Below are 20,761 nucleotides of genomic sequence, written 5' to 3'. Positions count from 1 at the left end.
ACTTATAGTTACCAATTTCTTTCAGATTAACTCCCAAGGATTGTCCAGACACTTTTGTTAAAAGGAAAACCTATTGTATTGTGTATTGCCTAAATAAAAAAAAACTCATAATCATAGTTAAGAGGTATGAAAATGTCTATCTTTCAAAGGTTTTCATTGTAATGAGGTTTGACATACATCATGCCTATAGTGAAAAGTGCAAATTTAGAAGAAGGTGAACGATGGCAAGTCAGTTTTATACAATTGACAAAACCTGAAGGACAACCACCCACATGGCTCTCATCACTGTCAAAACCCATTTAGCTGAAAAGGAAAGAAAGAGAACAAAACAAAAGAGCACCATGCTTTTGAGGTGGAGACATACTGTGCTACAGGAATGCAGGGTTTCCAGACTGTATATGTCTGTGTTTGTGTGTGACATAGTCTTGACTCACTGGGTACCTGGGTCCTCCTCTGTTTGAGGAATTTGACTTTCTTAACCCTATGCAAAGCTACTTGCTGCAGAGCACAACAAAGCTGGCTATGTGCCAGCTCAAATAACAGCAACTTTTTAAGTCCCCAAGGAAATTTAGCTTCAGCCACATTCTTGAATTCCTTTGAGCAGCCCTCTGGGCTGATGCTTCTTAGAGATCTTCTCTTCAGTAGCAGTTATGAGGCTAGCAAGGTCTGAACTAGTTTCCATACCATATTATATAGCTTTGAAGAGCACTGGGGAGTGAACTACACTAGAACTTTGGTTGATGATCTGTAGAAATGACATGGCACCCCAGAGTAAAATTGCATTATCTTAAAACAAGTGATAAACAATTTTGTCTATTCTTGGTGGTGAGTATAAGATGGTAGGGAAAGTTACAAAATTTAGGCTCATCTAAAGCATTATCTGTGTTTTGATTATAGCTGCAGGTTGAAAATATTAGATTGTTAATTTTGTATATTTCTTTTCAGTGCCCTCAAAAATTTTGGCAGATATATGAGCATAGGCTGCCATCCTTGGAAGGATGGTAAGAAGGAAGGAAAGAGGGAAGGAAGAAACGAAGGAAGGAAGGAGAATGTACAGAGAAAATTGAATATGGACTCATAGATTCTTGGGCCTGGCTGAGCAAATGTTAGTTTTTCAGTGAAATAACTTCTATATGCTGGAACTAAATTGGTATGATGGCTCTGAAGCTAACATCTTTGGTTGTCTTTTTTTTTTTTTTTTTTTTTTTTTTTTTTTGACAGAGTCTCACTCTGTCGCCCGGGCTGGAGTGCAGTGGTGCGATCTCGGCTCACTGCAAGCTCTGCCTCCCGGGTTCAAGCCGTTCTCCTGCCTCAGCCTCCTGAGTAGCTGGGACTACAGGTGCCCACCACCACACCTGGCTAATTTTTTGTATTTTTAGTGGAGATGGGGTTTCACTGTGTTAGCCAGGATGGTCTCGATCTCCTGACCTCGTTATCTGCCCACCTTGGCCTCCCAAAGTGCTGGGATTACAGGCGTGAGCCACCATGCCTGGCCTTGTTTGTCTTTTTTGAAGCATCTTTAGAAATGTCTATTTGTAGGAGAGATATGAGGTTCACAACAATATTTAAAAACCAGTTAGGCATATCAAAAAAAGAAATTTTATTAGAATATTCCCAGTCTTTTCAAAATGTAATCTTGTACCATCTTCCATAATAGGAAACACTGACTAAATAAAGTGTTTCTCAAGCATGGCTGGTATACCAACTTTGAGGGTTAGTTACGACTTTTTGCCAGAACATCCATTTACTTTCCTAGCCTGGGGGAACTGAACTAGCAAATAGATGTCACTTTTATAAGCACACAGTGCCATTTTAATCTACGCTAAATGAAAGAGTTTAAAAGCAAAAGGAAACTTCCAGTCACATAAAACTCTTTCTTGTTAATATCTCAGAGTTGCTTGTAATATTTGGGGTGGTAAGGAGGATGAAGAAATCTCTCTGGCACTTAGCTTTAGGTTGGACAAACCACATTCACTCTATACTCAAGCTTATTTTATTATAGTACATTTTTCCCTTCTTGAATTTTTAATGTCTTCAACATGCCCTTTGACCAGTGACCTCTGCTAGAAATTTCTCTAGATATGTACAATAATTAGACAACACAATGTAGAAGTGTTGTATGTTTCTTATCTGCATCTCATTTGCTTGTACTGACTTAGCCAGTCTATGATCAGAAGATATTATAATTTCCAACCACAAAGAATGTATTTTATTAACTCCTTTTCGAATTCTTCTCACTCAGTGAATGATTCAGAGGGAAAATGCTCAGATTCAGGTGAAGAGAGTCATACCAAATACTTGCCAGACCACAAAAACTTCAGCTGCCTGGGCTTAAGGCTGATTTCAGTCACTTAAGAATTTGGGGATGAAAACACTGTTTACAGTGAACTTGTAGCAATTCTGCAAATGTCACAAGGACAGGGATCATGTCTGTCACCCATTCAGTTGAAAAACAATTTAAGTTTACTTTAATGACTTTTCATCTCTTTATCAGAATTGTTTAGATTGTTAGACTCTAATAATTTATAGACTCCAGGATTAGGGTTTCTTTCCTTAGAGACATTGAAGTTCTGCCCTCGTAATCCTGCTTAGGGGAAGACGGTGTGCTCTGTCTTGCTTTTCTGTCGCTTGTACTTGGGTCTTCGTGTCCTAATTCAGATGCTTTCAAACATGAGTGTGCATCAGAATCGCTAGAAAGCTTGTTAAACTATGGGTTGTTGAGCTCCCTCAAGAGAGTTTCTCGTTCAGTAAGTCTGGTGTGAGACCTGAGAATTTGTTTTTCTAAATAGTTCCCAGGTATGGCTGATGCTGCTGGTCCCAGGCCCAGACTCTGAGAACCAGCCGCCAACCTCCACACCCAGGACATTCCACTTTTCTTTTATTCACAGATAATTTGTTTCTGTTCAGATCATATTCCTTCTCCTCACTTTTACACATGATGCTAAATGTGCTAAACATGCTTCAGCCTTCCATTTAACATAAAAGCATTAAAAATATCTAGCTTTCATCTCAGGTTATTCACCTGGGCATTGTAGGGATACATCTAGTTACCTAAGGATGGTTTGACATTAACTACCACATCTACATTTTGAATCATGCAAACTCAAGCAGACACGGCTGAATCAAGGGCCATAGAATTCTGTTTTGTGATGCAAGCTTATTTTTGTTTCATGATGGAGCTCTCCACCCCACTGGTATAATTTTCTCATCCACATAGCCTCTAGCTATCAGTAAAGGTGTTCTCTAAATAGTTGTTTCAGAAAATAGAAGTGTTCATGTTTTCATACAGTGATGTATTTATTGTTTTAAAGATATTTTTGAATCAGTTATGCCTAGGTTGTTTGGGTGACCTCAAAGTGGGTCATCCAAGTTGGTCATCACCAATAGGCAAAAAGTATAAATATAACCCATGCTAAGTGTAAAACTAAATGCCAAGGAAGCAGTTTATCTTGTTAAATTCTGCCAAGGGCAAGTGACACAGCAGCTGCAGACCAGTTTGTAGAGGCCTGGGGGGCCATGCTGGCACCGGGAAGCCTGGCTCTATCCCACCTGTGGAAAAAGCTCACATGTGATCCGAGAGACAATTATAATATGACTTAACACAGTAGCTGAGAGGTGCAGCTTCTTTTGCAACGTTCAGGACTAATTCCATGGATTTTCTTCCCCCTGCTCAGCGGCATTCGGCAGCTTCTCTGGTGACCAGCTACGTCATTTGGCAGCAGGCTAAAGTGCTTGCAATTGCATAGAGCAAAGAGCATGCTGAACAGTGATGTTCCAGTTTAAAAGGACAGAGCTGCAAACAAAGGTAGGCTTTTATTTTGGGCAAGAGCCTTTTAACTGCACAAAGTCTCATGCCTGACCACGTGCCCTTCACCACTGCCATGCCCACAGAACATGTCCTCACTCCCTTGTTCTTGAATCCTGAGTGCAGAAACCTGATGTCAGCGTCTTCTCCTGAGTTTCCTATTTCTTTAACTGTCTTCATGTCCCACTTGCCTTTCTGCTTCTCTTCTTTACCCCTTTCAGCTCCTTCTTTATGGGCCCATGTTTTATTCATATGATTATTTTTGACAGATAGTTTGGTGCCTGAATATAATATTCAGTGTTTTCTTTTGATGGGAGAAAACTCACAGTACTGCAACTTTACATGTAGAATACAGAGTAAGCCCAGCTGTGCCTGCCCACAGTTCCAAGGGGAAGTAACTGCCTGCAGAGTATGATGCTACTTCTTCATTGCACTTGTCACAGTTAATAGTTCTATGTATGTGAGTGATTGTTTGATCAATTTCTGTCTTCCTTGGTAAACATAAGCCATTGTGACAATGGCTACCTGCTTTGCCCACTATTGGATCCCTGGTGCCTGTCTGTGTATTCACAGTAACACTTGCTGGGGGAAGGAAGGAATATGCTTCTCAGGTATATCAGTTGACTCATGGAAGTCCTGAGCTGGTCCTAACTAAACTTTGGAAATGATACATTGCTTTGGAAATAATTGTGCAGAAAAACCCAGGATTTTATCAATGAGTTTTTTTTTTTTTTAGTTTATTTTGAGAGATTTGATTGATGGTATTTGTTGGGTATAGATAAACAATGTGTCACCCAGTAAGGAGAAATATTCACTATTATGAATTATACAAACCTTCTTCTATTCTAATAATGTGTTCCTGGAATATACAGATAACTAGAGCTTTATGTTAAGTCTCTCAAAACTTTGGAAATATGGTCTGTATTTGTTTTCCAGGGTTCCCATAACAAAGTACCACAGACTGGGTGGCTTAAACAACATGAATTTATTGTCTCACAGTCCTGGAAGCTGGAAGTGCAAGATTAAGGTGTCAGCAGGGCTCGTTCCTTTTGTAGGCTGTAAGGGAGAAATCCATTCCATGCCTCTCTCCTAGCTTCTGGTGGTTCCTGGCACTCTTTGGCATTCCTTGGCCTGTAGAAGCATCACTTTGATCTCTACCTTCCCCTTTGCACTGGTATTCTCCCTGTGTCTGTGTCTTCTTGTAAGAACGCCAGTCATATTGTATTGGGGCTGATCCTACTCCGGTATGACCTCATCTGAACTAATTACATCTGCAACAACCCCATCCAAATTAGGTCACTTTCTGAGGTGCTGGGGGTTAGGATTTCAACATACAAATATTGGGCAAACACAATCCAATCCATAACATGGACAAGTAAGCTATAATTGTTGAACAAAAGACTTGTCTGCTGCTGGAATCATTGCACCAGAACCACCTCCCTGTGTTTTCTGACACCTCTTTTCAGTGGCAGGGTTTTGACCTTTTTCTAATGGAAGCATCAGGGTCATGAAAATCTGTGCTTGGCAATTAACTGATTTTACTAGTTGAACCTGTTTCAGAGAACTGCTGGCAGATGCCATCCCAAGTGGCAGTTAGGGACATGATGTGGATGAAGCAGGCACTGCCTTAGATAGTATAAGAAGATTTCCAATAGCTGCAGAAGGCACAAAACCCCCCTTCTTCCTCACTGGTACTTGCAAAGAAGTTCCCTCTGCCCTTCCAGTGTGTGAAGAAGGCAAAAGAAGCTTCTAGGGTCGTACCTGGTATTGGCTGCTCAAATCGTGACATTGGTTGATGAACACCATTGATCTGTTCAGATTGAGGAGTTCCTATGTAAAGAAAGAACTAAAGTGAGGAAATGCCCTGGAGACATCTGACACAAATATTTTACTTCACCATAGTAAAGGGGGAAAGTAATGTTTGACTTTTGGCTGAATGTTCATGAGAAAGACCAATATTTAATCTTGTCTCTGGCTTGTTATCGAGAGAACATTTTGCATCACTTGCCTGTGATTTCCAGGTGCTTAAAAAAGTAACTAGCTGAGAGACAAGGGCTTCCCGAATTGTGAAATTCAGAGAGAGAGTCAGTTGTCCCTGTTGATGCAGACTGTGCTCTAGGGTACATCCATCAGCAGTGCAGGCACTGCCCTTGTTTGGGGATCAATGAGAGAGAGAGAGGCAGCTGAGCAAAGTTACAGCAAGGCAGCACCAGGGCAGATGCTTTGTTCCACAGGGAGCTTGTGGCAGAGGTGGAACTTGAATGTAGATCTTTTGCCGAATGAGCCAGCATGCTCTTTAATGAAAGATTGCATTTGGTGAAGAGAATGAGGAAAGAGGGTCAGGGAGAAAACTAAATAGGAAACAAAAAATGCAAGAGGAGAAGAAGTAACAAGCATGACACTGGATGACAAAATCAGGCCCCGATTACTAATGTTATCCTAAACAAGTTACTTCCACACGGTGGGCCTTATCTTTTTTCGTGTGGAAACAAGAGTAATGGGAAAACTCATTTCTAAGGAAGTTTTAGGATAATATTTCCATAGTATTTTCATTTTACATCAGTCTTGTGTCTGGATTGTATACATCTTTATTTAGCTGGATCTGTCTTTATAGTCTTAAATTTTATGGATAAACTTTCATCTAATGTACTCTTGTCCTTTTATATATAATATTTAAAATGTTATTTTACTTCTATGGTCTTGGGTGTCAGTATCATAAAAAAACCTAAAACTTTTATGCAAAAAGAAAGTGGCTAAAATTAAAAAAAAAAATTTTGCCATGTTTCTGAAACTAAGACCTTAACAAGATTAGCCTCAATGATGTAAAACAAAATTAAACTGCCTCCTCCTAACAAAAACAACAACAAAATCAATGTGTTCTAAAGCAAGACCTCTTGTACTTTAAATAAGATCCTACCTCCAGTTCTTCAAACTGTACTCCTGAGGATGATTAGCTGTAATTAAATAAGCATATGAGGAGAGAAGAGGTTCCCATGAAAGATGGGCTTCAAGACAAATGCTATGGATTCAGATACCTCAGATGGCACTTGGAGATGGCAGTGGACTGAATGTTTACGTCCTCCCAAGATTCGTGTGTTGAAATCCTGGCCCCTAAGGTGATAGCATTGGGAGGTGGTACCTTTAGGAAGTAATTACATTATGAGGACTGAGACCTCCTAAATGGAATTAGTGCCCTTATAAAAGGGACCCCAGAGAGCTAGTTCACCCTTCCACCATGTGAGGACATAGCAATAAGGCACCTTCTATGAGCCAGGAAACAGACACCGAATATGTCAGTGCCTTGACCTTTGACTGCCCAACCTCTAGATCTGTAAGAAATAAATGTCTGTTGGCCGGGCACAGTGGCTCATGCCTGTAATCCCACCACTTTAGGAGGCTGAGGCGGGTGGATCACCTGGGTCAGGAGTTCAAGACTAGCCTGGCCAACATGGTGAACCCCCAGTCTCTACTAAAAGTACAAAAAATTAGCCGGGCATGGTGGTGGGCGCCTGTAATCCCAGCTACTCAGGAGGCTGAGGCAGGAGAATAGCTTGAACCCAGGAGGCAGAAGTTGTGGTGAGCCTATATCATGCCACTGCACTCCAGCCTGGGCAACAAGAGCAAAACTCTGTCTCAAGAAAAAAAAAAAAATAGAAAGAAATGTTTTTTGTATATAAGGCACTCAGTTTATGATATCTTGTAATAGCAGCTCAAAAGGACTAAGACACCATGTTTTGCAATGCTATGTTAATTGATCACATTGAGATGGTGGGAGGCCATGTTCGATAGTCGTTAAGAGGCTTGTTAGAGTCCAGTGGTTGTTTCTAAGTACTGGTTTCACCCCTCACAGCTATGTTACTCTCAACAAGTTATTTAACCGTCCTAAGTTTCAATTTCCTCATCTGTAACCTGGTGATGGTTCTCAGTACATATTTGGATTTTCTTTTGTGTATGAGAATTAAATGAAAGAACTGTAAAGTGCTGAGTAGAGTGGCACATAGTAAATGCTTAATAAATATTAGGTAATAATTATCACTCTACTTGTTATGATGTCGTCCCTCATAAAGAAACTGACTCTATTGCAATAATGGATTTAGAATCTGATGACTTTTCATCAGTGTGGAATATATTTCTTCTTAATTTATGACTGAACACAAGGTTCCAAGTATGCCAGAACCTCACATTACCCTATAGATCCAGATCTGAAGAGCAGGAAAACAGCCCTGATGTGATGCTTGGGTGCGGCACTTCTACTGTTATAGGAGCACCCAGTTCATTACAAGTCTGAACAACATGTTCCTCACTCTGGGCAGAAAACACTAAGCAAGGAAATGTCTGTTTTGTAAGAAGACAATTCAGACTTGTTTTTCAGGGCCTTCCATCATCTCAAACTTCTCAGCTGTAGCAGCAATAGCAGCAGAAAGAATTATTGAACATGGCATCTACATATGGTGAGAGAATAAACAGGGAAAAAGAAAACCCAGTAGTTTTCAGCCTCAGGGTGAGTAAATAGAAACCTGGTAGGAAAAGGGTACAGAAAAGACATGAAAACCAATGCAAATGAATATAAAGCATGCATTCCTAGCTATATGGAAATATGGAAATAACTTTAAAAGGGTATCTCATTTGAGTAAATGCCTGGTGCCTCCTTGACCATCTCCCGTAGTAGGGCATTCCATGTCTTTTTAAGCATCTCACTCCATCTCTAGCGACTAGCTGGTAATAGGAGAAAAAATAGTTTCTTTATTCTAACCCTGGTTGGGATCCTGGCTCCATTGCTTAACAGTTTTGAACTTTGGAGGTTAAATAAAAACAACGTATCAATGGACATCATATTAGTACCAACTTCATGGCGTTGTAGAGATTAAATGAGATCATACATATAACTCTATAATACAATGCTTGGTGCATAACTAACACAAATTGAACTAATTAAGTATTCAATTGGCTTTATTATGATTATTGAGCAGGACTGTCTGCATTCTAATCCTGGCTCCAACATCCTAATCTGGAATAATTGACTTTATTTCTCTGTACTTCTATTGCCTTCTCTATCAAATGGGGATTCTAGTAGGGTCTATCTCATGAGGTTGTTGAGAGAATTAGATAAGTTGATAAAGGTAAAGCTCTTAGAATAGAGCCTTGCATTTAGTGGGGGCCCATTCAATGTTAGTCATTGTTGATGAAAGGGTTCTTCCTGAACGATTGCTCCTTTTTTCACTCTTCTTGCTCAATGAGTGCTCCTCCCAAGCAGTGCCCCGTGCCCTTTCTAGCTCTCTCTCTCTTTTGGAGGAATGTAATTGAAGCCAAGATAGTGGGTTTAATCTTCCACGGGCCATGAAGGATCCCTTTGCTCATGTGAAAGTAGATGAGATTAAATCTATTTCCAGGGACAGCTAAGGAACAAGCCACAGAGGCAGCCCAAGGGAAAGGTAGGTCAGTAGATTCAGTGTGGAATAGAAAGAACATGAAGTACTCTGAGAAGTGGAGGCCAGGGACAGGGATGAGACAATGTGGTTTGTTTGGGAGCCTGGCAATGTGGCAGGTAATGCAAATGGCTCTGACATGGGGCGCTTACTGTGCCAGGGGCCGCTTGCCTTTCATAAGCGTGAAATCCATTTAGGCAACCTTTGGTACATACCCTTCTGAGTCCACAGCTTGTTCTTTACAAGTTTTTGGCAAAAAGTAGTGTTCACTGGTCACACCCATTCTATTCTATATTTATTCTCAGTGCACAAGGCTAGTGAGATAATCATGCCCCAGGGCTTAACTGGTTGAAATCTGTAAATCTCCTAAAAGTGTAATTACCTATTCATAATTCTTCTTTCCAATATTGCGTAAATCTCATTAGTACATTTTTTTTTTTATTATTCATGTTATGGAAAAAATTGCTTTTTTGCCATTGAAAGAACAATTAGCAGAGAGAGAGAACCAGGTGTTTTGTTTGAGCTGTTTGGTTTAATCTCTGTGATCAAATTAACCCATTTATGCTGGAGGTTGCAAATTTTTTTGTGTGTGTGAAAAATCAGACCATGGCGATGACCTTGAGCAGTAGGATATAAGTAACTCCCACAAGCTTAGCGTTCCAATAATGGAACACTAGACATAAATGGGTTAAGGAGTCCACCCCCTACAAGTGTAGGAGACTCCTTTAGTAGCCAGTCCTGTTCAGTGTTTTGTTTTTAGAGCAAGGACCCTGTCTCTAAAGGCCTGCAGGTACTGGTGTGAAATTATAATAACATTGCAGAGCAAGGACTTTGCTGCTCTTAAAACTTATTTCAGAATGGTTCCTGGAAGGACATGGACTCGTGCACCATTATACGAATGGGAACCCCACAGGGAACAAAATTAACTCTGGTGCAGCCTCTACAGAAAATCTCGTGGCCCTTTGCCTGATATATTTGTCTTGAGTGTGCAAGTAATTGCATAAATTGTATACATTTGTACACTAAGAATCGCAGATGATTGGGGATTATAGAAAATATGTTTTATTTCTAGAATGTACTTGATTGATTTTTTTCTAGGCAGAGATGACATGAGTGTTAATGAGACTTTCATGACATCCCCAGTTTATTTAATCAATTGTTTGATTCATGACACATGGTACAGATTTATAACATATGAAATGATTCTGTAATTTTCTTTGATGTTTCCAAATTACTTGTGTGTGTGGTGGGGGGAGGACAGGGGGTGCTGTCTAATACCAAATAAAATAGCTTGAAACAGTGGCCTCTAACTACCATCCGGGATGGGGAAGGGGCATGTTTACCTACTCTGTGTGTGTGTGTTTGTGGCTACATGTGACCCCACGGCCCTTCCTACATACCTTCCATTTAAGGTAGTATAGTTAAAGAGTTCTGCTGGAGAAGCAGAAGATCAGAACTCTCCTGTCAGTCTCTGACCAGTATGCTAAGATATTTGGGCTACTTAACTTCTCTGGGCCTCAGAACAGAGGGGGATAGACTATACAACCTCTGAATTATACCTTATCTACCTGTGGACTGCAGCAAACTGTGGCGTCAGCCTGGAGAGGACTCCTGGGGCCATTGCCTGTTTGGCCAAGCAGTCAATGGGGTAGAGAAGCAAGACAGTGGGGAGGGGAATTTCCTAAAGGGTAAAGAAGAAGCAGAGCTGGGGTATGGAGCCAGGGTTTGGCCTTTGCTTCCTGAATATCCTCCCCTCTCCATTCTAAGAAGGGGAACTAAGACTAGAGAAGATGCTTTAATCGCTCCCTCCTCTATCTCATCTCAGCAACTCCAAGAAAGAGGACCGAAACTTCTTCTTCTTCTTCTTCTTTTTTTTTTTTTGACAAAAAATCTTGCTCTGTCACCCAGGCTGGAGTGCAGTGGCACGATCTTGGCTCACTGCAACCACTGCCTCCCGGGTTCAAGCGATTCTCTTGCCTCAGCTTCCCAAGTAGCTGGGATTACAGGTGCACGCCACTGCCACACCTAGCTGATTTTTGTATTTTTAGTACAGACAGGGTTTTGCCATGTTAGCCAGGCTGGTCTCAAACTCCTGACCTCAAATGATTCACCCTCCTTTGCCTCCCAAAGTGCTGGGATTACAGGTGTGAGCCACCACGCCAGGCCGAGGACAAAAGACTTCTATAATTCCCTGTAGGAATCACTCTTTAAGGGTGTCACTCTAAGGGTTTTTCATGGTAAAGAACCAAATCTGTTTAGATTAAGTCTGAGTCTGCATTTTTTTCTTCATGTCGTCTCTTAATATTTTAGACATGTAGATAAAAATTATAGTTTCTCAAACTTCCAAAATCTGCAAGTTTCCAAAATCCTGGAGTCTTGAAATCTAAATATCTGGATGACAACTTAAAATTGCACTTTTCATTTGACTTCTTGGATTTATAGACAGGACCTCTTTAGGCCCAGACTTTATTTAGCCATGCATTAGTAGTGTTTAACAAGTCTTAGGTGATCTTAAAAAAACCTTTCCCTCATAACACTGTATATTTACATATCTGAATGAGATTTAGACTTTCTACCTTAATATACTATAACTACTGAATTAAGTGTGATGATCTCCTTAAAATACAGGCAGAAGGCTTCTATATTTTCCATTCCTTTAATCCTTTTCCCTTCCTTTTAAATCCATTTTCTCTGTAGGTAGCCCTCTTGGGTAAATTATCTGTTCAACAACTCTAGGACAGGTGTTTCCCATGTGCTATGGACCACATGTAGAATTCAGGAAACATGTATGTGTCCTCATTTTTGTTTTTTTTTTTTTTTCATCGGTGGAAGCACAGTTTATTGTCTATACAGCTTTCAAATTGGACACTATGAGCAGCTTCATCCAGCTTCTTGCCTGGAGATTTTTTCAATTGTAGGCCTTGCATTTGACCCATATCCACCACAGACTCTAAAGAGAAACAGACCAAGCTCCCCAAGTGGTTCTCTTAAAGCATCTTTCACTTGGCATGAAGTAAGGAGGGAGTAGCCCTCAACTTTTCCATTGCAAAGTAGGGGCAAGTGAAGAGTGAAATGCACAGAATTCTAGCAAATCCCTCCAAAGAAATTGTCTCTTTCCTTGCCTCTGTAACCTCTTTTACCCTCTTGAGGCTTGTCTTGGGCTAAGATTGCAAAACCAGTTTTTGCCTATCTCCTTTGCAAGTGCTATATAGTTGGTCTGACACCTTGATTTGTGCATATACTTCATTAGCTTCCCTGAATGTCCACCATCTTCTTAAGAGTAGAGGCTTTGTTATGCACATTTGTACTTCTTATAATACCAAATGCAGTGTCCCATATAGTAGGTGCTCAATGTATATTGGGGAATGAACGAGTGAATGAAGGTAAGCTTCCTGCCTGTGTGAAGGAAAATGGCTAGCTCCTGTTTAACTGTGCACACTTTCAAGTTGCCCTCTTGCATTCTGCTTCTCATGTAAGTACTGTTATTAAACTTCTAAATACTTAACAGAAGGCTTTTTTTTTTTCTTTTTGGCAGTGAACGAACTCCTTTTGTCTTCTGTCCCGTGAATATCCTAACCACTTTGTCACTTTGATCTAGGGGGCATTTCATCCTCAGAAATGCAAAGGAGTTGGCGACTGCACAAAATGTGTTCTATTTCCTATTGCCGTAAAAATCCATTGCTCTTGAGCCTTTGCCCGCCCCCTTTCATGGTAATGTGTAAGCCACTAAATTGCAGTTACTGGCTGTGGCCAGGGCCATCGAAAAATCGTGAATGCCATGTAGATTTGAGGCTTGCTCCACTAAAGAGTCCACAATGGCTTTACTGTAACTGGGTTAACTAGAACTTGGCAAACACCTATCCAAGGAGGGTGATACCAAGTCCCCTCCCCACTTCCAGGATGCTGGCCTGATCTTCTTGTATTTGTGCAACTGGCCCATCCAGAGACCCAGTGAAGCCGGGAGGAGGGCCCTGGTGAGGGCGACTCTCTCTGGGTCAAGTTGTCCTTTTGCAGCTCTCCTTTCACGCAGCTTCTCTTCCTGAAATGTGAAGTAGGTTAGAGGATAGCTTGTTTTCTTTTGCTATTTGAAATACAGCATTTGGGGTCATGCTCTGAATAATTTGTGCTTGTTAGAAATGACTGTTGTCCTCTTGAAGCAATAACAAAGAACTACATTTAAATTAAATTCAGACAAGCAAGAGCCTCTCCACAAAATCAATGGAGCCAGGCATTTTTCAAAGAGATATTTTGATTTTTTTAATCTCTAATATTCCAGGGCATAAATCAGCAAAGATAACCCAGAATCAAAAAGGAGCTGGGCCATTGTTCATAATACCTTAAAAGTATTTGATAATATGTTTGGGGTGGGAGTGAAAAGGTAAGATAAAATATTACATGCAATCCTCTTTAATATCACTTATTTTTATATTTGGCAAACTTTATTCTTCCTCAATTTCCTTGTGTCAAATTTCAAGTATTGATTTTTTGAAAGATAGCTTCATTCATTTATTAAATCTGTAAGACTCAAGAGACTAAAGCCCTGTCAAATATAGTTTTCAAAATGTTAATTTGCATAAATGTATTCATACACACATACACTGCTGTAGTCTTCTTACCAAATGTAGCATAAAACAGTAGTGACCAGCAATGTGGTGGCCTCATGTTCCAGGTAGAATACTTGTTCCATCAATGCTAAATAACGTATCTATTTTTAAAATATTTTTTCTTCATAGTGTCCAAATTAAACCCTACTTCTGTACTCAAATAATCCCATCTTTATTTTAATGCATCAGTCATCCTTTCCAGTTCTTCAAGACAAAAACACTCTATTCTTTTCTCATACTAGACATATAATTATCTGGAGCTGCCAAACTTCATCTTTTAAAGTCAAGAAGGAAAGTTTCATCAGTTATTTTAATAATTTGCCTTGCGGTTGCTCTGCTTCAGTGCAGGACTAATTCTGTCTAATAAAGCTAATGAGCAGGTTAATTATTAATACACACTGAAAAATTAAACTCCTCACATTCATTCACCTCGTCTATATGATGGGCATTATCACTGCTGTAGATACATGGGGTTTCCTTGCTGTAGTTTCTGCTTTCAAAACAAATAGATCCTTCATTTTAGTCAGTATGGTTATGCCGAGCAAAGTCATTCTACCTGGTTTTTACCTCCCCTAGAGTGGAGAAAGTATCTTTATTTTTTGTGCTTGTTGATCATATGGCAGGAGTCTTTCTGTATAGTTTTGTGCATTGGTGTCATGTAAGCCTGTCCTGCACCCCTTAGCTATTCATTTTATGGCCACAGAAGAACACATCTCATTTTTATCAGATTACCCTTCTTTCTCTTCTGTCTTTCTGTGCTCATCATGCCTCTTCCAACCTATGCTCCTCCAGTCACTCTAACCTTGGGAACAGAGAACCCTGAACTCAAAAAAACCCATCTGTGATTGATGAGGCCACTGCTATTGAGAACCCTGACCTCAGGGAAACCCATCTGTAATTGATGAGGCAACTACTATTGATTTATGATTCTGATATTTGCTCTTAGGTTCTTAAATTTAGGGAAAACTTTTCTTTTGAATATTGCATAAAACTTGTTGACTAAAATACTATTTTTGTGGCATGTGCGAATTTAATTTAACTCTAGTCCTCAAGGTCAGAGTGACTCTAAGTCATGGCCCTAAGTCAAGGGCCATGTCTCTAGCAGCTTATACGTTGCTCCTTCAGGCTCTGAAGCATGTGTGAGGAAAGGACCTTTTCCACAACAAAAGATGATATAAATTAGTATTTTTTCCTCTCAGTTCAAACACCAAATTCTTCCTGAATTCTTTTTTTTTTTTTGTGGAGTTTTGCTCTTGTTGCCCAGGCTGGAGTGCAATGGCATGATCTTGGCTCACCACAACCTCCTTCTCCCAGGTTTAAGTGATCCTCTGGCCTCAGCTTCCCGAGTAGCTGGGATTACAGGCATGTGCCACCACACCTGGCTAATTTTGTATTTTTAGTAGAGATGGGGTTTCTCCATGTTGGTCAGGCTGGTCTTGAACTCCTGACCTCAGGCGATCTGCCCTCTTTGGCCTCCCAAAGTGCTGGGATTACAGGTGTGAGCCACCGTGCCCAGCCACCTGAATTCTTTTTCTGTGCCAAGATTCCTCACCTTCTGCCAACATCAGCTTCACCTCTGGGGCTCTCTCTGTCTTTGCTAAGTATCCACTATTAATACTTCTCAAACTTTACTATTGTTAGAGTCAGTAAGGTTAACTTCCTGAACCCTATGCTCCCTCAGATACAGCCTTCCTGGATCCATCTCCAGAAATTCTGATTGACTCAGTTGGTCTCATATGACATTTGGGCACCACGTCACAAGTGGGATTCTAAAGGGATTCGTCACACTTTGACGAACACTGGTCCTGTTATCCTGCTAGTTTCTGTCTGCATTTCTGTAACCAATGCCATATTAGTGGCCTTAGTATGGGTCAAGGACACTTGTTGCTTCAGCAAAAGTATGAATGGGGAAGGGAGGGTGGATGTGGGAGGCTAAATAAAAGACAAATGCTTATATTTTCTGACAAACATTTGGATTCTGTGGAAGTCTCCCATCTTACCATGTTTCAGAAGATGAGTAAGTTGTTCCTTTCTCCCAAAAAGACAAACTGCGATGAGGCTGATTAGCTCATTCTAGTATCATAATTACATATGTGTCCCATCCCCCACACTTTTAGTATTTTATCCAGGGTGACTGTAGCACGGTCAAGGAGGTTTGATCTGTGGACCCATCTGAATACCATTTGCTGCCAAAATATCTCAACCTTGACCTCAAAGAAACCCCCTCTGACTGACGAGGCCACTGTTATTGAATTACTACTCTGATATTTGCTCTTAGGTTCCTAAATTTAGGGAACACTTCTCTTTTGAATACTGTAAAATCTATTGAATAAAATACTATTTTGTTGCATGTTCAAATTTAATGCAACAAAACAATTAAAATAAAGTCATTACTTCTATGTCATAATAGTGGAAAATTCTAATAACCATTTACTCAGATAATGCTAAATTTATAGGGCAGACTGTTATAAACTTTGGAAAAGGCAAGTGGATCAGTAACTCAATTTATATCAGGGATTCTTGAGTTTGGAATGGTAATCTGTCTGGATTTCGCCTGTGCCTGTAGGTGTGTTTTATGTTTGTAAGGGAAATTTTGAGCTCAGGGAGCAGCCTGACAGCCAGACCAGGAGGGTTAGGCACCAAGAAAATGGAGTCAGCTCAGAAGTCCAAACTCCTTGACCTGCTCACTCAGGTGAATAGATAGAGGGGTGAGGAGATGGGTATTTTGGCACTACTCTAAACAGCTGAGAAAGATGTCCAGCCTCACAAGGGAACATGGTAGTTGTACAACATCATGACAGTTCTACTGCCCGTCAGTGTCGAATTGGTCAGCACGTCAGGATCTTCACAATAGGTATGGGACACGAGCTGAATGATAGGGATTTAGTTAGCATGACTCCAGCCTTTGAAAGGGTTAAAAAATTAAGGACGGATTCCATATTTTAAAATATTGCATGAAAGAAATGAGAGTGCCGGGTGTGGTGTGGCTCATGCCTGTAATCCCAGCACTTTGGGAGGCCAAGGCAGGCAGATCACCTGAGGTCAGGAGTTTGAGACTAGCCTGACCAACATGGAGAAACCCCATCTCTGCTAAAAATACAAAATTAGCAGGGCGTGGTGGCGCGTGCCTGTAATCCCAGCTACTCGGGAGGCTGAGGCAGGAGAATCACTTGAACCCGGGAGGCAGAGGTTGTGGTGAGCCGAGATCATGCCATTGCACTCCAACCTGGGCAACAAGAATGAAACTCTGTCTAAAAAAAATAAAAAGAAAGAAAGAAATGAGAGTGAGACTGTCCTTCATGCAATATTTTTGGAAATATTGCAAAATATTCTTCATGGGATCCTTCCTTCCTGACCATGCCTGAGAAGCTAGTTGTCAGGGTGCAAGATGTGAATTGGGTACAAGAGAAAAGCTTGTGAACCAAATATAGGATATAAATGTCACAGTAGGGCTAATCAGAAGGCTAAATTAGTGTTGATTTTTATGTCACTACATTAAAACTCTTTGTATTCCATTAAATATAGGTTTGTTCAGCCAGACATAAATGCTCATGCCTATAATCCCAGCACTCTGGGAGGCTGAGGTGGAGGATTGCTTGAGCCCAGGAGTTCAAGACCAGCCTGGGCAACACAGTAAGATGCTGTCTCTATTTTTAAAAAGATAGATTGGTTCTCTTTTCTGACTTATAACCTTCCATGACTTCCCATTGCAAACTTCTCTGTGATCCGGCCCTGACAACCATCTGACCTCAGCCCCTTCCACTTACTTCAGCTAAAATGGCTTTTTCCCTTTTCGTTAAACATGCTGAGCTCCTCCCGGTTCCAAGGCCTTGCACTTGCAGATGCCTCTGCCTTTTCTAGACCTTCGATTGACTCTCTCCTTCTTGACATTCAAGTACTGGCTCAAATACCTTTTTTTCCAGGAGGCCTTCTTTGACTACCCATTATTAAGTTGTATTTCTCTTCCAGTTGATCTCCACATTATCAGTCTTTTCTTATTTCCCATATATAGCATGTAACATTTCTCACACACTTCACAACATATACTTACATTCATTTTATTTCTTAATTTTCTCTCTTGGCCCCTTGACTGTAAACTCCATGAGTATAGATGAGTTTTTGTTTATTTATTGTTATTATTGTTGTTCATTGCTGTGTTCATATAGCACAAACAATGCCTTGAACTTAGTAGGTATCCAGTATTATTTTCTGAACGACTGATTGGTTGAAAGTCTTCCAAACTCTAGTAGAGGAGAGCTGGCTGCAAAAGATATGTGGGGATAGAAAAAAAGGAAGGAAGTTAAAAAAAAGAAGCTCATTAATATATCAGTATTTCAGAATTCTAGGCTATAAAATGTATGTGTTACAAAGGATCTACTTTACAGGATTACACTGCATGATGATTCAAAAATAAGTACTTTGTAAATTCAAATTTTGTGAGTTAAGATCATGAGAACTTGATATTCCAAAAAGGTGATACAGGAGAGAATAATAATAAGAAGAGGAGAGGTCAGAGGAACACCCAGAAGATGTATAACAACTGATACTAAATGCTAACGATATAAAGAAATTTAGGATTAGCTCAAAGTTGTACTGATATAATGCTCATTTCATTCTTGAGTACAAAATGCTATATAATAGATGTTCAATTTCACTTTTATAGAATTTATGAATCTGTTCACCTTGCTTAGAAAAAAGCGCTCAAATTTATTGAGTCAGTGGAGACACTAACTTGCTTTGGCTAGAGATCATTAGGAGGTCAAAGAAAAGAAAAAATCTAATTGCTTTTTAAATTTTTGATTTGACAATTTTAATTTTTTCCCCTTCCCTCAATACATTTGTAAGACCAACATTATCATACCATGGAGGTTTCTAACATGAGCAATTCCAGCACATTGGATCTTATAAATGACCTCTACAGAGATCATTTATAGGCTTTATTTTCTATTATTAGAAAAAAATCATTAGTTATTAATCACTATTAATCATTAAAAAGTCATTAAAGGACTTTATTTTTTGTCTATTACTACAATTTTATTAATTTTCAATTAAAGACATATAATTAAAACTTACTACAATGCATCTAAGCCCATGTATAATTTCAAATTAAAAAATCTAACAAAAGCTCCAAAAAGAATATGATAATTTTTCTTCTTACTTTTCCCTTCTCTCATAGTTACTTTGACTTAGTCTATAGTCATGGGTGCTTCATGAAAAATTTACTGTTAACAAATTGTGAATAAAGGTGGAGCTTTACTTGGTGTCCTACAGCCCAACACCCTCTGGCTTATTGTAAGAAAGCTTGGCATCAACAAGATTCCATCTGAGAACACCTAGTTCCTCCCACCCTTGCTATTGTTCTTTATGTTTATCAAAATGTAGACTAAATCATACACCTGAGCCTAAGTGGTTCTAATGCCTCAGAGTTGTGATCTGATTCAGTGCTTCCCAAACATCAGGTTGGGAAACAGTACTGGTTCATGACCAAGTGAAAATTACAAGAACAAGGAAATAGGTTTTGCATAAAGCTAATTTTTTCCCAAATTAAGGAAATTTTCTTTATATAAAGATAATATTGCTCCTATTATTTGGTATAGATCAAACTTTTATGAAATGATAATGATAATAGATGGCAGTTTTTTAAAAAAAAATGTTTTTACTTGGCAACCCAAAATGGTGGCAATAGTGAACAACAGTTTCTTTTATTGAAATTTTTTGGGAACTTATTTTGAAAAAACAGAGTAGGGTAATGAACCCATATGTACTTTGCAGTTGGCCATTTATGGCCAATCCTATTTTGTCTAACTATACCACTACTCTCTCTCACCTAATTTTTCATTTTGCAAATTCATTATATCTTTTCATCTACAAAATTTTGGCATTTAACTTTAGGAAATAGGGATTCATTTCTTAAATTTAACCTCAAATTTTAGAGGTTGTAAAATCTCAGATAGAACTGAAACAGTCTCCACTGAGAATATTCAGCTCCTTCACATTACTGGGGAGAAAATGAAAATCAAAGAAGGGGGACCATTTTACCACTAGGAACTGGTGGCACAGATATGTCAGCCCTGAAATTTTTATTCTAAGTTCGATCATTGTTCATGATGTCACATAAAGAAAACGAAACATACCATGGAGAGAAACCCCATGTAGAGAAGCCTCATTTACAAAATTTAATTCAAAATGAATCAGAGCCCTAAATGTAAGAGCTAGAATTATAAAAGTATTAGGAAAAAAACATAGATGTAAATCTATATGACTTTGGATTAGGCAATAATTTCTTAAATATAATGCCAAAAGTACAAGAAATCAAAGAACAAATAGATAAATTCAACTTCATTGAAATTAAAAACTTTTGTGCATCAAAGGACACTACCTAGAAAGTCAAAAGAGGACTTACAGAATATGAGAAAATATTCACAAATTATATATTTCATAAAGATCTAGTATCCAGATTATATAAAGAACTGTTATAATTCGACAATAAAAAGACAACCCAACTAAAAAATGGGCAAAGGATTTGAACAGACATTTCTTTAAAGAAGATGGAGAAATTGCCAATAAGCACATGAAAAGATGTTCACTGTTATTAGCCATCAGGGAAGTGCAAATCAAAACCACAATGAAATACCACTTAACACTCACTAGGATAGTTATAATAAAAAAGACAGATAAAAGAGTATTAGCAAGGATACGGAAAAATTGGAACCCTAAGGCATTGCTGAGAACCCTAAGGCATTGCTGAGAACATTAATGGTACAGGCACTTTGAAAAACAGTTTGGCAGTTCCTCAAAAGCTTAAACATAAAGTTAACATATGATGTAGTAATCCTACTCCTAGGAATATACCCTAGAGAAGGGTATATTCACGCAAAAACTTGTACAAGAATGTTCACTGCAACATTATTCATAATTTCCAAAAG

General features: G+C 39.3%; 1 long non-coding RNA gene across 1 annotated transcript in view; it reads right to left on the bottom strand.

Moving 5' to 3' along the window:
• Positions 1–20,761, bottom strand: part of DIO2-AS1 (DIO2 antisense RNA 1) — a 244,049-nt gene that overhangs the window by 63,985 nt on the left and 159,303 nt on the right. The window contains exons 4-5 of the long non-coding RNA NR_038355.1: positions 17,887–18,096; positions 5,567–5,635 (exon numbers count right to left, since the gene is read on the bottom strand). This is a non-coding gene — a long non-coding RNA (DIO2 antisense RNA 1). The remainder of the gene's footprint in view (positions 1–5,566; positions 5,636–17,886; positions 18,097–20,761) is intronic.

The sequence above is a fragment of the Homo sapiens genome, chromosome 14 (genome assembly GCF_000001405.40).
Source record: "Homo sapiens chromosome 14, GRCh38.p14 Primary Assembly".
NCBI classification, from domain to species: domain Eukaryota; kingdom Metazoa; phylum Chordata; class Mammalia; order Primates; family Hominidae; genus Homo; species Homo sapiens.
This window is presented reverse-complemented; position numbering and strand designations above follow the sequence as displayed.